The 15556-nt window shown below is 38.0% G+C and overlaps 1 protein-coding gene across 10 annotated transcripts in view; it reads right to left on the minus strand.

The window, feature by feature from the left end:
* CPNE4 (copine 4) overlaps nucleotides 1-15556 on the minus strand; it is a 506038-nt gene that overhangs the window by 145679 nt on the left and 344803 nt on the right. For all 10 annotated transcript variants that reach the window (NM_153429.2, NM_001388326.1, NM_001289112.2 and 7 more), the window contains one exon: nucleotides 6628-6711. In NM_153429.2, the coding sequence (NP_702907.1) occupies nucleotides 6628-6711 (84 nt within the window). Of the gene's footprint in view, nucleotides 1-6627; nucleotides 6712-15556 lie in introns of those variants that run through there.

Below are 15556 nucleotides of genomic sequence, written 5' to 3' on the forward strand. Positions count from 1 at the left end.
GTTTGTAGTTCTGTGGGGTCAGTGGTAATATCCCTCTTATTATCTCTGATTGTGTTTATTTGAATCTTCTCCCTTTTCTTCTTTATTAGTATAGCTAGTGGTCTACTATAATATTATTAAAAAAAAACCTGCTCCTGGATTCATCAATCTTTTGAATGGTTTTTTGTCTCTCTATCTCCTTCAGTTCAGCTTTGATTTTGGTTATTTCTTGTCTTCTGCTAGCTTTGGGATTTGTTTGATCTTGGTTCTCAAGTTCTTTCAGTTGTGATGTTAGGTTGTTAACTTGAGATCTTTCTAGCTTTTTGATTGGGCATTTTAGTGCTATAAATTTCCCTCTTAATACTGCTTTAACTGTGTCCCAGAGATTGTGGTACGTTGTGTCTTTGTGCTCATTAGTTTCAAAGAACTCCCTGATTTCTGCCTTAATTTCATTATTTACCCCAAAATCATTCAGGAACAGGTTATTCAATTTTTATGTAATTGTATGGTTTTGAGTGGATTTCTTAGTCTTGAGTTCGGATTTGATTGTGCTGTGGTCCAAGAAGCTGTTTTTATGATTTCAGTGCTTTCTCATTTGCTGACGAGTATTTTGCTTGAGATTATGTGATTAATTTTAGAGTAAGTGCCATGTGGTGGTGAGAAGAATGTATATTCTATTGTTTTGCATGGAGAGTTCTGTAGATATCTATCAGGTCCATTTGATCCAGTGCTGAGTTCAGGTCCTGAATATCTTTGTTAATTTTCTGTCTTGATAATTTGTTAATATTGTCTGTGGGGTGTTAAAGTCTCCCACTATTATTGTGTGGGGGTCTAAATCTCTTTGAAGGTCTCTAAAAACTTGCTATATGAATCAGGGTGCTCCTATGTTGGGTGCATACATATTTAGGATAGTTAGCTCTTCTTGCTGAATTAAAACTTTTACCATTATGTAATGGCTTTCTTTGCCTTTTTTGATCTTTGTTGGTTTAAAGTCTGTTTTGTTGGAAACTAGGATTGCAACCCCTGCTTTTTTTTTTTTTTCCTTTTGCTTGGTAAATTTTCCTCCATCCCTTTATTTTGAGCCTATATGTGTCAAGAGACCTTGCATGTGAGATGTGTCTTTTGAAGACTACGTACCAAAACCCATTATTTTCAACTGACAACAACTCAACACTGATTACATAAAGAAACAGACAAACTAACAAACAAGCAAAGAAAAAATTAATAAAAACACTACACTTTAACTTTGTCCCCCAGCTTTTTAACTTTTTGTTTCTGTTTATATATTATTTTAATGACTCTGTCTTGAAAAGTTGTTGTAGTTAATATTTTTTAATTTCCTTTCATAGAAAGAAAATAAATAGAAAAATAAAAGTATTTCATTATACTTTCTTTCTAAGGGAGTGTTATGTCTTCTTTTCCCCACAGAAATGTATTTTATTTATTTAATTTTTTTATTTCTATAGGTTTTTGGGGGCAGGTGGTATTTGGTTACATGAGTAAGTTCTTTAGTGGTGATTTGTGAGATTTGGTGCACCCATCACCTGAGCAGTATACACTGCACTCAGTTTGTAGTCTTTTATCGCTCAACCCCCTCCCACCCTTTCCCCTGCGTCCCCACAGTCCATAGCATCATTCTTATGCCTTTGTATCTTAGCTTAGCTACCACCTGTAAGTGAGAACATATAATATTTGGTTTTCCATTCCTGAGTTACTTCACTTAGAATAATAATCTCCAGTTCCATCCAGGTTGCTGTGAATGCCATTAATTCATTCCTTTTTATGGCTAAGTAGTATTCCATGGTATATAAATACCACAATTTCTTTATCCACTCATTGACTGATAGACATTTGGGCTGTTTCCATATTTTTGCAATTGCAAATTGTGCTGCTATAAACATGCGACCAGTTTATCTTTTACCCTTTCTACTCAAAATATTGGTAGTTTACACACCACAATTAGAGCATTATAATATTCTGTGTTTTTCTGTGTATTTGCTATTACCAGTGAGTTTTGAACCTTCAGATGATTTCTTATTGCTCATTAATGTTGTGTTGTTTCAGATTGAAGAACTTCCTTTACAGTTCTGGTGTTAATGAAATCCCTCAGCTTTTGTTTGTCTAGGAAAGTCTTTATTTCTCTTTCATAATTAAGAATATTTTTGCTGGATATGCCATTCTAGGATACAAGTTTTTTCCTTCAGCACTTTAAATATGTTACACCACTCTCCCCCGGTCTTTAAGGTTTCTACTGAGAATTCTGCGTCAGATGTATTAGAGCTGTATTGTACGTAATTTGTTTTTCTTTTCTCTTATTCCTTTTAGGATATTTTCTTTAGACCTTTGGGGGTTTGATTATTAACTGTCTTGAAGTCATCTTATTTGGGTTATATCTGTTTGGTGTTCTATAACCTTCTTGTACTTGAATGTTGATATCTTTTTCTAAGTTTGGGAAGTTCTCTCTTATTATCCCTTTGAATAAACTTTCCACCCTTATCTCTTTTTCTCCTTATACTTTATGGCCAATAACTCTTAGATTTGTCCTTTTGAGGCTATTTTCCTGATCTTGTAGGCATGCTTCATTTTTAAACATTCTTTTTTCTCTTATCTCTTCTGATGGTCTGTTTTCAAATAGCCTATCTTCAAGCTAATTCTTTCTTCTGCTTGATCAATTCTGCTGTTAGGATAATTTGATACCTTATATAGTGTGTCATTTGCATTTTTCAACTCCAGAATTTCTGCTTGATTTCTTACAATTATTTCAATCTCTTTGTTAAATTTATTTGATAGGCTTCTGAATTCCTTCTCTGTGTTATCTTGAATTTCCTCAAGTTTCCTCAAAATAGCTATTTTGAATCCTCTATCTGAAAGGTCACATAACTCTTTTGTTCCAGGATTGGTCTCTGGTGCTTTATTTAGTTTGTTTGTTGAGGGCATGTTTTCATGAATGGTCCTGATGCTTGTAGATATTCACCAGTATATCTGGATATTGAAGATTTATATATTTACTGTAGTCTTTGCAGCCTGGGCTTGTTTGTACCATCCTTCTTGGGAAGGCTTTCCAGGTATTCAAAGGGATTTGGGTGTCGTGGTCTGTTTTTGGTCACTGTGACTGTATCTGCATTAGGGGGCATCCCAAGCTCAGTGATGCTGGGCTCTTTCAGACTTGTAGAGGTACAGTGGTGGTCTTGGATAAGATCTGGAAGAATTCCCTGGATTACCAGGTGGAAACCCTTCTCCTCTTCCTTTACTTTCTCCCAAACCAATGGAGTCTGTCTGTAATGAGCTGCCTGGAGTTAAAGGTGGGGTGACACGAGCACCACTGTGGCTGCCACCACTGGACTGCACTGGGTCAGATGTGAAGCCAGCATAGCACTGAGTCTCACCCAAGGCCTAGGATAACCGTGCTTGGCTACTACCTATGTTCACACAAGGCTCTAGTACTCTACAATCAGGAGATGGCAAAGTCAGCCAGGCTATGTCCTTCCCTTCAGGTTAGTGAGTTCCTCCCAGTCCCAGGCAGGTCCAGAAATGCCATCTGGGAGCCAGAGCTTGGAGTCGGAAACCTTAGGACTCTACCTCATGCTCTATTCTACTGTGTTTGAGCTAGTACCCAAGCCATAAGACAAAGTTTTTCCCACTCTTCCCTCCCCTTTCCACAAGCAGAGTAGCCTCTCCCTTGGCCACCACCACCCTAGGACCACAGCAAGTACTGCCTGCCTACCACCAACGTTCACTCAGGGCCCAAATATTCACTAGTCAGCTTGTGGTGAATGCTCCCAGGCATAGGACTCTCTCTTCAGGGAAGTGGACTCCTCTCTTACCCAAAGCCAGTCCAGAAATGCTGTGCAAGAGCCAAAGTCTTTAATCGGGGACCCCAAGAGCCCAATTGCTGCTCTATCTCACTGTGGCTGAGCTGGTACCTAAGTTGCAAAATCAAGTCCCCTCTACTTGTCCCTGTCCTTTGCTCAAGCAGAATATCTCCCAATAGCCACCATAGCTGGGAATGCACTGCATCACATCTAAAGCCACCATGTCTCTGTGTTTCACCCAAGGCCCATGGTGAGTACAGCCTGGCTACAACTGCTGATTATTTGGGGACCAAGAGATTTTTATTCAGAAGGTAATGGATCCTGCTTCCCTTCAAGGCAGTAGGCTTCCTTTTGGCCCAGGGTTTGTCTAGAAATGTCGTCTCGGAGCTACGGCCTGGAATGGGGACCTCAGGACTCTGCCTGGTGCCCTATTCTATTGTGGCTGAGATGGTATCCAAGTTGCAAGACAAAGTTATATTTATGCTTTCCTCTCCTCTCCTCAAGTGGGAGGGAGGAGTGTCTCCTGGAGCCGTGTGCTGCACTGCTTAGGGTATGGGGCACGCATTCCTTGGTGGTGCATGCACCTGAGGGGTGGTGCAGGCATTCCCTTGGTGACTTTGGCTGGTGTCTCACTAGGTTGTATACCCTCATAGCCCACTGGCTATGAGTCCAGCAGAGCACCAGTACTTGCCCAGGAATTGCAGTATTTGTGGCTTAGAGTGCCTTTCAAATTTATTTAGGACCCCAGAGCCCTTCAGCCTGCAGTGGCAAAGATTGCCAGAACTCAGGTTTCTACTACTGATGTGAGTGATTCCCTCTGGCTAGGACTGGTTTAAATTCTTCCTCCATGGGCGCAGGATGAGTTATGCCCAGTATTGCTTTCTGCTGTGATGGGGCAGCACTGAGTTCCAGTGCAAGGTCCCATAATCACTGTCTCTTCCCCAAGCACACAGATTCTGTATCTGCACCACACAGCCACTACCAAGCGGATGAGGGAGGAGTAGTATCAACAATTCAAGACTGTCTTTCCTACCCTCTTCAGTGTCTCTCTCAGTGATAACGATGTTAAAACCAAGTACTGTGGTCATTCACCTGATGTTTGGTTCTTATGAAAGTGCTTTTTGTGTGTGTGTGGAGAGTTGTTTAATTTGGTGTTCTTATGGGTAGGATAATTAGAGGATGATTAGTGGAGGCTTCTATTTGGCCATCTTGCTCTATTTCCCTCAAAAGAAGTTTGTTTCACATAAGGAAACTTAACGGGTGAAAGACCTCTTTTGGTGGTGGTAATGAGATGCCACTCAGGGCAACTGTGCTAGCTGCACCTCAATTTATTCTTCATGGATTAAGTTCCAAAGAATTACATTGTTCTATAGCATGCAATAGACATACTATTTATATTTAACAGCATTTATTTATTTATTCTTTTATTAAACACTTTTTTTAGATATCAACTTTGTATCAGATGATATCCACAGCTAGCCCATCCAAGGCTATTTAATTTTTGTCTATCATAACAATGACATGAAACATTCCCCTAACAACACCTGCAACTCTGTCACTTCAGGAAATTGAATTTCCAATGTGATGTTTTGGGGATATAGCAACCACACCACCACCTTATGAAAGTCATGGGGGTTTCTTTTTTATTTTCACTCTGCAAATGGTATGCAAGCATAACTGGGTCTTCTCTCAGCTCCAAGTAATTCAGCACAAGAATATCACTTCCTTCTTATCAATGTACCTCACTCCTACAAAATCCCTCTTGGACTGGCTTACAAGTAAAATAAAATGAAAAATGGAGATCGTGGTTAGTTGTTGAATGTGTGTGTGGTAGTGGGTAGTAGGGGGTAAGGTAATAAGAGATAAAGTTGGGGCCACTTGGAGAAAGAAGAGGAAGAGTGAGAAGGAGATACAACTAGACTAAGTGGCTGCTAAGAAAGGTCAGGTGTTCATATGATAGGACTGACATCAGTGCAATGTATGTACTTTCCCTGGGGAAGCAGATTGACTTCCCAAATTACCATGAAGCTCAGAGTCAAACAACCTCAATTGAAACCTGAGTTCCATCCTTTGTTAGCTGTGAGACCTGGGAAAGTTACTTAACCTCCTTAAAGTTCAGTTTCTTCAACTGTAAAATGGGGGTCATCATCATCATCATCATGTGTGAGGAATTTTTGTGAGAAATAAAATTATGCATGTAAATAACAGTCTAATGCTTGGCACCTAGATGCCTAAACATCCTCATTAAATGATAGCTAGTATTTATACTTTTATTATGAATAAGTTGCTAATTGTCTGTTTTGAAAGTTAACAATAGAAATTGGGGTTAGAAAGGCTCTTCTGACAACTAAATTGAGGATTAAAAGTGAAAAAAAAAAAAAGCTAAAAATGGCAGAACCTTCTTGAGGACACTGAAGATTTCAGGCCTTAGTTGATATCTACAGACATTAAGAAGTAAAAGGAGGCTGGGCGCGGTGGCTCACGCCTGTAATCCCAGCACTTTGGGAGGCCGAGGCGGGTGGATCATGAGGTCAGGAGTTCAAGACCAGCCTGGCCAAGATGGTGAAACCCCATCTCTACTAAAAATACAAAAATTAGCTCGGCGTGGTGGTGGGTGCCTGTAGTCCCAGCTACTCAGGAGGCTGAGGCAGAGAATTGTTTGAAGCTGGGAGGTGGCGGTTGCAGTGAGACGAGACTGCGCCACTGCACTCCAGCCTGGGTGACACAGCGAGACTCCACCTCAACACACACACACACACAAAAAGGAGTTTCTCAAAATAGGTCAATTTATCATCATCTTAGGAGATAAGAGGGCATAGCTGAAGATGACTCTTACCTCAGTTCGGTGCACCAGCTGCTGAGTTGCATCATCATTCATACGAAAAATTTCCAGAAATGGGTCAGATTTACTGAAGAAATCCTAAAATAGATAAACGTCAATGAATTGTTTTTCCTCCTGCATTTGATCTAGTCCTGATCAATCAGGAATATTTAATCAACAGGAAAACCCTCTTGATTTCCTATTTTTTATATGTGGAAGGGAGGCCATGCTTGTCCTCTCTTCCTGCCCAGTTCTACTCAAACTCTCTTCTCTTTACCTGTGATCATGAGCCCCACCCTTTCTTCCTTTGATCCTCATCCCTGAGATCCACCCTTGGCTAGAATGGACTGCATCTGAAAGCTAAGTTCTTTGTAAAGTCAGTACTTGGTTAGTTGAAATTCAAAGTATTCTTCAAAGATCAGTTCAAATTCCAGTTCTTTGAAAATCACTGTATCTGTTGTCTTAAACAGGTTCATTATAGTTATTTTAATGCCTATGTAATGACTACAATGTCTGGATCACCTATAGGTCTATTTTTATTATCTCTTTCTTAGTTCCACCTCTTGGTATGCTTGTTAATTTTTTATTAAATAGTAGACAATGTGTAATGAAGATTATGAAGGTTTTTACATGAGTCTTTAGCTTCTAGCAAGTGGTTATAAGGGGAGAAGTCTCCTGAATCCAATTAGGATTAAGCTATTTAGAGGATGAATTTCTTCAAATGTCTTTAAAGCCCCTATCCATTTCTGATTTCCTTTACTCCTTGGGTATAGTCCTAAAAGGACCCTAACTGAAAACCTGAGTGTTCACGAGGGGTGTTCTTCCTTGACAAGTCTTCAATGCCAATTTTTATTTGTGAGAACCTCAAATGCTGTGTTTATTTTCATAATTTCTTAGCTCTAGGTTTTTGTTCAGTTTCTCTCTATGCTGCTTTTGCTAATTAGCAAACGCCTTGAGATGATAAGCCACTCATACTGTTGGACTACTTGTCTTCTCTGATGCACCTATGAGTCTTTATCCTTTGCTCTCTCAATAGCCCTGAACTTCAGTTTTTCTCCCCAGCCCCATGAGACCACCAAAAGCTCTGCTCAGTTTCTGTTTCTTAGTAGCTATTTTTTTAAACTAGGCTTCCCAGACTTTCTATCCACACTATTTTACGAATCAGCCTTGAGGAATTCCCTTGAGTGGAAAATCTGCACAGAATGTCTTAAGCACCTCCATGGGTTTCTCTTCTGTCCAGTTTCTTGGCCCCTCAAATCTACACTGCCTCAGGACTCTCAAATACATGTCTCTTGTGTCTTTTCTAGTGTTTATATTTGTTTTTAGTGAGAGAGTGATGTAAAATAACTAAGTGCTTCATTGTTGGGAATGGAACCTATCTCCATCCCTTTTAAAAACTTGATTTTTACCCCCAGTAGATTATAAATTCTCAAAGAGGAGAAACTTTATTTTCCTTTATATTTCTGCTATTTCCTCAGCATTTTCCATAGTGTCTAGATTTTAATAGTACATAGTGTTTATTGAATGAATGAATAAATACATAAATAAGTGAATGGATACCTGGTATAGGATAGGAGGCTATCTGAGCAAAAACCTTATTCATCACCATCACATTTTTATTACGAATTTCACCAAGTAATTTTTTTCCAGAAATCTAGACTTTAGCAAAGTAGAATTAAGCCCATATTTGCCTTAAAAGTCATTTATTATTCCTAAATGTTAAGCAAGCCAGAGTCAAACTCGTTATTTTCCTTTGTTTGGTCTCTACTTCTAAATTTTGCCTTACTATCAATGTCTTTACCAGCCATCCTAGTCTTCAGCTCAGCAAAATATTTGTAGGACATATACTGATCACAGAGTTTTTGTGCTTGATGTTAAGATATAAGGACAGATAGAACCTGATCTCAGTCTTCCAAAGTACCATCTAGGTTGCTGGTAAGAAAAGTATACAAATAAATATAACCTAGGGCTAGGTATAAATGAGTGAATGAGTGAATGAATGAATGAAGGTATAAGGAGTATTGAGGGAAGAGAGGGGAGCTGATGAATTTTTCACAGACATAGAGGGGGATACCCCAAGTAATTTAATAAGACTATAGCCTAGGGAAGCATAGGGGAGGAATTGGAGACAATGCTGGCAAAGTTGGCCCCATGATGTGAAGGGCCTTAAATGCTCATCTGAAGTCTTTGCACTGGCCTGGAGAGGCAGGGGGAATCATTGAAGGATTTTGAGCAGAAAAGTAATATAGTTGGCTCTGCAGTGAAGAATGCCAGTCTAGAAACTTTGTAGTATATGTTAGAAGGAGGAGATGAGAGGTGGGAATAACTATCTTCCGCTTTGCTTTCCTTCCCATGCAACCAGGAACCAAACAAGATGCTCCACAACACCCAGAGTCTGGAACATCCGCTACTACTCTATTTCTGAAGGTGCCTTCAGAAGATTACCACAGCCTTCATCTTGTCAAGACCCCAAAATGGTGGCTTTCATCATAATCTTGCCCTTCAAACATCGTCTCTCCCCCAAAATGGCCCATTTCTCTCTCAGATGCACTTCTAGCTGATTCCCACCTCTATGCATTTACTCATTTGCCCCTTAGGCCAGTTTCTGTTTCTACATGCATCTTAAAAAATTAAAACCTCCTTCTCTTCTCCCTTTCCCTATGGATGTGGGCTACAGTAGCTTGTTCCTACGTGCCCTTGGGCTCCTCCTGTAACTTCACGCTTTGCCTCTTTAAATAGATTGTTGGTCCCTCAGGGGATGTTTTTATGATTCATACTTAAAAACTGCTAACCACAATGTAAGAACTTTCTCATTTTTTCCCTCTTTACTGTTAATTTAAAACTTTTGTTACCATCACTTTTATTTAAAAATGAAAAATATAGAAAACAGATGACAAAAATAAAAAGAAGGAAAAAAGAACCCATAACTGAATTCAAAATTCCATAACCATCAATAGAATTTTGATAAATCTTTTTCTAGACTCTACATATACTTTTCTGTCTTTCTTTTTAAAAATTTTGTAATCATGATCTATGTACAATTTAGTACCCTATTTCTTTTGCTTGTTGTATACATATTTACATGTTGTATATTACAATGCTTTTTCTATTTTATTTCACATTCTTTTTAAATACCATGAATGAATTAGGCAAGAAGTTATTGTCAGGAGGGCATACTAAAATGTCAATGAAAGAAAGGTCAAGAATGGCCTCTGTCTTCAGGTAGCTGAAAATCTATACGCAGCATACTGGCTTTAGCACTGCTTTCAAATCTCAACTCTACCACATATAATCTGAATAACTGTGGACAAAATATTTAATTTCTCCAAGGCTTAGTTTGCCATTCATAATGGAAGGAGTATCAACCTTTGCCTCATAGTGACAAAGAAGAATTAGAGGACCTGGTGAATGGGAAGTGTTGAGTCCATTGCCTGGTACACGGTGAAGACTGAAAAAATGTTAGCTGCAAAAATCCTCAACAAAATACTAGCAACCCAAATCCAGTGGCACAACAAAATTTAATCTATTACAATCAAGTACACTTTATTCCTGGGAAGCAAGGTTGGTTCAACGTACACATATCAAAAACCATATGATCATCTCAATAGACGTAGGAAAAAAGGTTTTGATAAGATCCAACATCCCTTCATGATAAAAACCCTCAACAAACTAGGCAGTGAAGGAACATACGTGAAAATAATAAGCCATCTTATGCTTATGCCATCTATGACAAACCCACAGCCAACATCATACTGAATGGGCAAAAGCTGGAAGCATTCTGCTTAAGAGCAGGAATAAGACAAGCATGTCAACTCTCACCATTCCTGTTCAATATAGTACTAAAAGTCCTCGCCAGAGCACTCAAGCAAGAGAAAGAAATAAAAGGCATCCAAATAGGAAAAGAAGTCAAATTGTCTCTCTTTGCCGTTGATATAATTCTATACCTAGAAAACCCTAAAGACTATGGTGAAAGACTCCTAGAACTGATCTTCAGCAAAGTTTCCGAATACAAAGTCAATGTGCAAAAATCAGTAGCATTTCTATACAAAGTGAGAGCTCCATCAAGAACGACCCCATTTACAACAGCTAGAAAAAATGAAATGCCTAGGAATACATCTAACCAAAGAGGTAAAAGATCTCTACAAGGAAAACTACAAAACACTGGTGAAAGAAATCATAGATGACACAAACAAATGGAAAAGCATTCCATGCTCATGGATCGGAAGAATCAATATTGCTAAAATGGCCATACTGCCAAAAGCAATCTACAGATTCAATGCTACTTACATCAAACTATAAACATAGTTTTCACAGAATTAGAAAAAGCTATTGTAAAATTCATATGGAACAAAAAAGAGCCTGAATTGCCAAAGTAATCCTAAGCAAAAAGAACAAAGCCAGAGGCATCACATTACCCAACTTCAAACTATACTATAAGGCTACAATAACCAAAGAAGCATGGTACTGGGACAAAAACAGACACATAAGACCAATGGAACAGGATAGAGAATCCAGAAATAAAGCCACATACCTACAGCCATCTCTTCTTTGACAAAGTTGACAAAAATAAGAAATGAAGAAATGTCTCCCTATTCAATAAACAATGCTGGGATAACTGGCTAGCAATATGCAGAAGACTGAAACTTGACCCTTACATTTCACCATATACAAAAATTAATTCAAGATTGAATAAAACTTTAAATGTAAGACCTCAAATTATAGAAATCCTAGAAGAGAACATATGAAATATCATTCTGGATGTTGGCCTTGGCAAAGAATTTATGTCGAAGTCCTCAAAAGCAACAAAAACAAATTGTAACAAAGAATATTGACAAGTGAGACCTAATTAAACTAAAGAGCTTCTGCACAGTTAAAAAAAAAACTATTAACAGACTAAACAAGTGGCTGATAGAGTGGGAGAAAATATTATCAAACTATTTGTCTGGCAAAGATCTAATACTCAGAATTTATAAGGAACTTAAACAATTCAATAAGCAAAAATAAATAAATAAACCCGTTAAAAATTGGGCAAAGGACATGAGCAGACACTTCTCAAAAGACGACCCGCAAGTGGTCAACATACATATGAAAAAATGCCCAATGTCACTGATTGTGAGAGAAATGCAAATCAAAACCACAATGAGATACCATCTCGCACCAGTCAGAATACCTATTACTAAAACGTCAAAAAATAACAGATGTTGGTGAGGCTGTGGGGAAAAGGAAACACTTATATACTGTTTGTGGGAATGTAAATTAGTTCAGCCACTGTGGAAAGCAGTTTGGAGATTTCTTAAAGAGCTTAAAACAGAACTACCGTTCAACCCAGCCATCCTATTACTGGTATATACCCAAAGGAAAATAAATCATTTTGCCAAAAAGACACATGCACTTGTATGTTCATCAAAGCAGTATTCACAATAGCAAGGGCATATAATCAGTCTAGGTGCCAATCAACATTGAATAGGATAAAGAAAATTTGGCACTTATATACCATAGAATACTACACAGCCATAAAAAAATAATGTTTTCTGTAACACCCTGGTTGCAGCTGAAGGCCATGATCCTAAGGGACTTAGCACGGCAATGGAAAATCAAATACCACATGTTCTCACTTCTGAGAGCTAAACATTGGGTACACATGGACATAAAGATGGGAACAGTGGACGATGGTGACTACCAGAGCAGTGAGAGAGGGAGGGGAGCAAGGGCTGAAAAACTACCTATTGGGTCCTATGCTTACTACATGGGTAATGAGATCAATTGTACTCCAAACCTCAGTGTCATGCAATATACTCATGTAACAAACCTGCACATGTAATCTCTGCATCTAAAATAAAAGTTGAAATATTAAAAAAAAAGTGGGCTACTATGATGATTATCAATAGAAGAAAAAATTCATGAAGGCATTTTGTAAAAAACTGTACAAATATCAGGGGTGATTACTATTAAGAAGGCATCTGATTCATGGAAATGAAATAATTCATAAGCACCTCAAAATCTCAAGTGTACGCTCAGAAATTCATAGCTTCAAAACAACAACTCTGGGTCTAATTGTGTGGTCACTTTAATTTGGAATTTTCAGCTTTTTAAAACTTGATTATTAGCACTAAGATGGCCATTGGGACAGTTCAGTTCAAAAAAGATGAATGAATAGGGCATTTTACTGAAGTGTTGCTGTGGTAAAATTCTTTAATAACACAGAGACCATATTATTCTGCTTTTTTAGTTCAATATAAAAGAAATTTAGCTAAGTAAGAGGGTGATAAGCAATTAGGAAGCAGTTCATACCCATGACGGTGATCTTGAAAATGGAATATTGGACCTAGAAGAAATTATCTGAAAGATGTAGGCATATCCAGTCTGTACAGCTTATTAATTTTGTGACTCTGGGAAATGTCTGATCTGAGTATGCTTTATCTATAAAATGGAAATAAAGATACTAACTTCTGGGAATATGCTTATGAGCTTTGGGGATAATGTAGGTTAGACACCTGATACTTGGCACATAATAGATGCTCAATAATTATAATTTTCTATCATTAATGCAGACCAGATTACAGTTTCAAGCAGGCATACTTAAACATAGTAAAATCACATCACAGCAGGTAGAGATTTTACATTGTTTTAGAGTAGGGGTCAGCAAACTATGGCACATGAGCCAAATCTGGCTTACTGTTTGTTTTTGTGAATAAAGTTTTATTGGAACACTGCCACATTCATTCATTTTTGTATTGTCTATGGCTGTTTTCATGCTTCAAAGGCAGAGCTGAGCAGTGGGGACAGAGATCAGGTGTCCTGCAAAACCTAAAATATTTATCAACTAGCCCTTTATTAAAAAGTTTGCCAACCTCTACTTTAGAGACAGATTTGTTTACTTATATTGCACCCCATCAAACTAGCATCATGGGAACACTGAAAATGCAGTCTATAATGATTACTATTACATATGTGGAGACCACCAGTGTCGGAATTAGTTCCAATGCACCAATATGAATACTTTCTCAAGAATGGGAAAAGAAAGAATCCTTTGTCAGCTTGAATGTTCCAAAGTGATTATTACATTTCTGTCTCTACTTACTTGTTAGATTAATTGCCGACTAGTTGCTAATGTAACAAATGTGCTTTACAAGTTAGAAAGTCCCTTTCTCTACTAAGTGAATTGCATTAACATTAGATAAATAAGTTATTTATCACAAACCTAAGCTATTTTATGTACTCACTCTCATTGAAGAGTGTGGAGATGATTGCTAGTCTGTTGAAAGACAAATTAAAAATGACTGTTTCTGTCAAAAAGAATGGTGCATTTCTCTGTCACTGTGGTTTGCAAAAGTACTTAGTGCTTTCCCATATACCCTATAACAGGGGTTCTCAAACTTTTGGTCTTAAGACCCCTTTACATTCTTAAAAGTTATTGGGGATACCAAAGAGCTTTTGTTTTGTTGTATGTATTAATATTTACCATATTATAAAACTGTTAAATTGTTAAAATATTGGTTACATTGTTTAAAAATAATAAAATAAACCTACTACATCATAACAAAAATAGTATTTTAATGGAAAAATTATTATAATTATATTTTCCAAACTTAAAAAATGGTGAGAATGGTATTAGTTTACATTTTTGCAAACCAATTTAATGATTAGCTTAATAGAATGCAGCAGAATCCTTATATTTGTGCTGTATTCAATCTGTTGTGATATTAGGCATCATGCAGCCTCTGGAAAACTCCACTTTACATGTGTGAGAGAATGAGAGTGAATAAAGAAAATTATGTCTTGGCATTATTATGAAAATAGTATTGACTTCATGGGTTCCCCTGCAAAGGTATTGGGACCATGCATCACACTTGGAGGACTGCTGCCTGACCTCCCCTCTTACCTCCCCTCTTACCTCCCCTCTTCCTGGCTTCCTACTTCCCTGAAATACATGAAAACATTTCCAAGTCTTCCATATTCTGAGACCAAACCACCTTCTATTCATTAACTCTCTGCTCCAAAAGACTTAGATTTTGTCAGGCAATCTGTTTGAGTCCCTCTCTTGCACTGATTTTTTTGTGAGTGTGTGCCTGTGTGGCTTTCAGTAAGTCATGCCACATCTCTAAACTTTAAAATTTTCATCTATAAAATAAGGCAGTTGGATTAGACAGTGGCTTTCTACCTAAAGTATGTAGACTCCTGGGGGCTACCAGAGTTACTGCCAAGGGACTGGAGATCCAGGCAGGCATCCTACAACCACCGTCTGAATTGGATATAGCATATTTTTCCTACATATTCATACTTCAATTTTTAAGTGTATGTAGAAACTAGTGACTTTCATGATATTCATTAACATAATAAAAAATTAGGAGCATTGTTTATTTTATAGTGACTTTTAGTCATACAATAACTAGATACAGTAAGTTTTAACTGCAAACATGTAGATAGTTATAAAATTGTTTAATGCTAAAAGCTAGAAAAGGGTCCTCCTTGAGAGCATCTGGGAACTATTTTTCCAGCTGTGACATGAAATAATTATATTATTTTATTCTATTTCTATCACAAAAATATTGTGGCAGTTTGCATTTTGTAAACATGACCACCACAAGTTCATAGTCCACATGCTTTTTCTCCAGTATGATTTTGCCACTGCCCTAACACGATGTGGAGTCCTAGAATCTGGGCTGGCCTTATGACTTACTTGCAACTAAAAGAATGCAGCAGCAGTGATGATGCATGACTTCCAAAGCCAGGAAGGGGTGAGAAAAGGCCACCGAGCATCTCCCTTGTTCTCTTGAAATGCTTTCTCTGGGAGAAGCCAGATACTCTAAAGGAAGTGTGACTACCCCAGGACCACCAAGTAGGCACTCTGGTAGACTGTTCCAGCTAAGCCCAGCCATTCAGCCATCTCATGTGCGAGGCATGTGCGTAGAGCTAGTGTAGAACCTCCAGACAAGCTCATCCA

Source organism: Homo sapiens, chromosome 3 (genome assembly GCF_000001405.40).
Source record: "Homo sapiens chromosome 3, GRCh38.p14 Primary Assembly".
NCBI classification, from domain to species: Eukaryota; Metazoa; Chordata; class Mammalia; order Primates; family Hominidae; genus Homo; species Homo sapiens.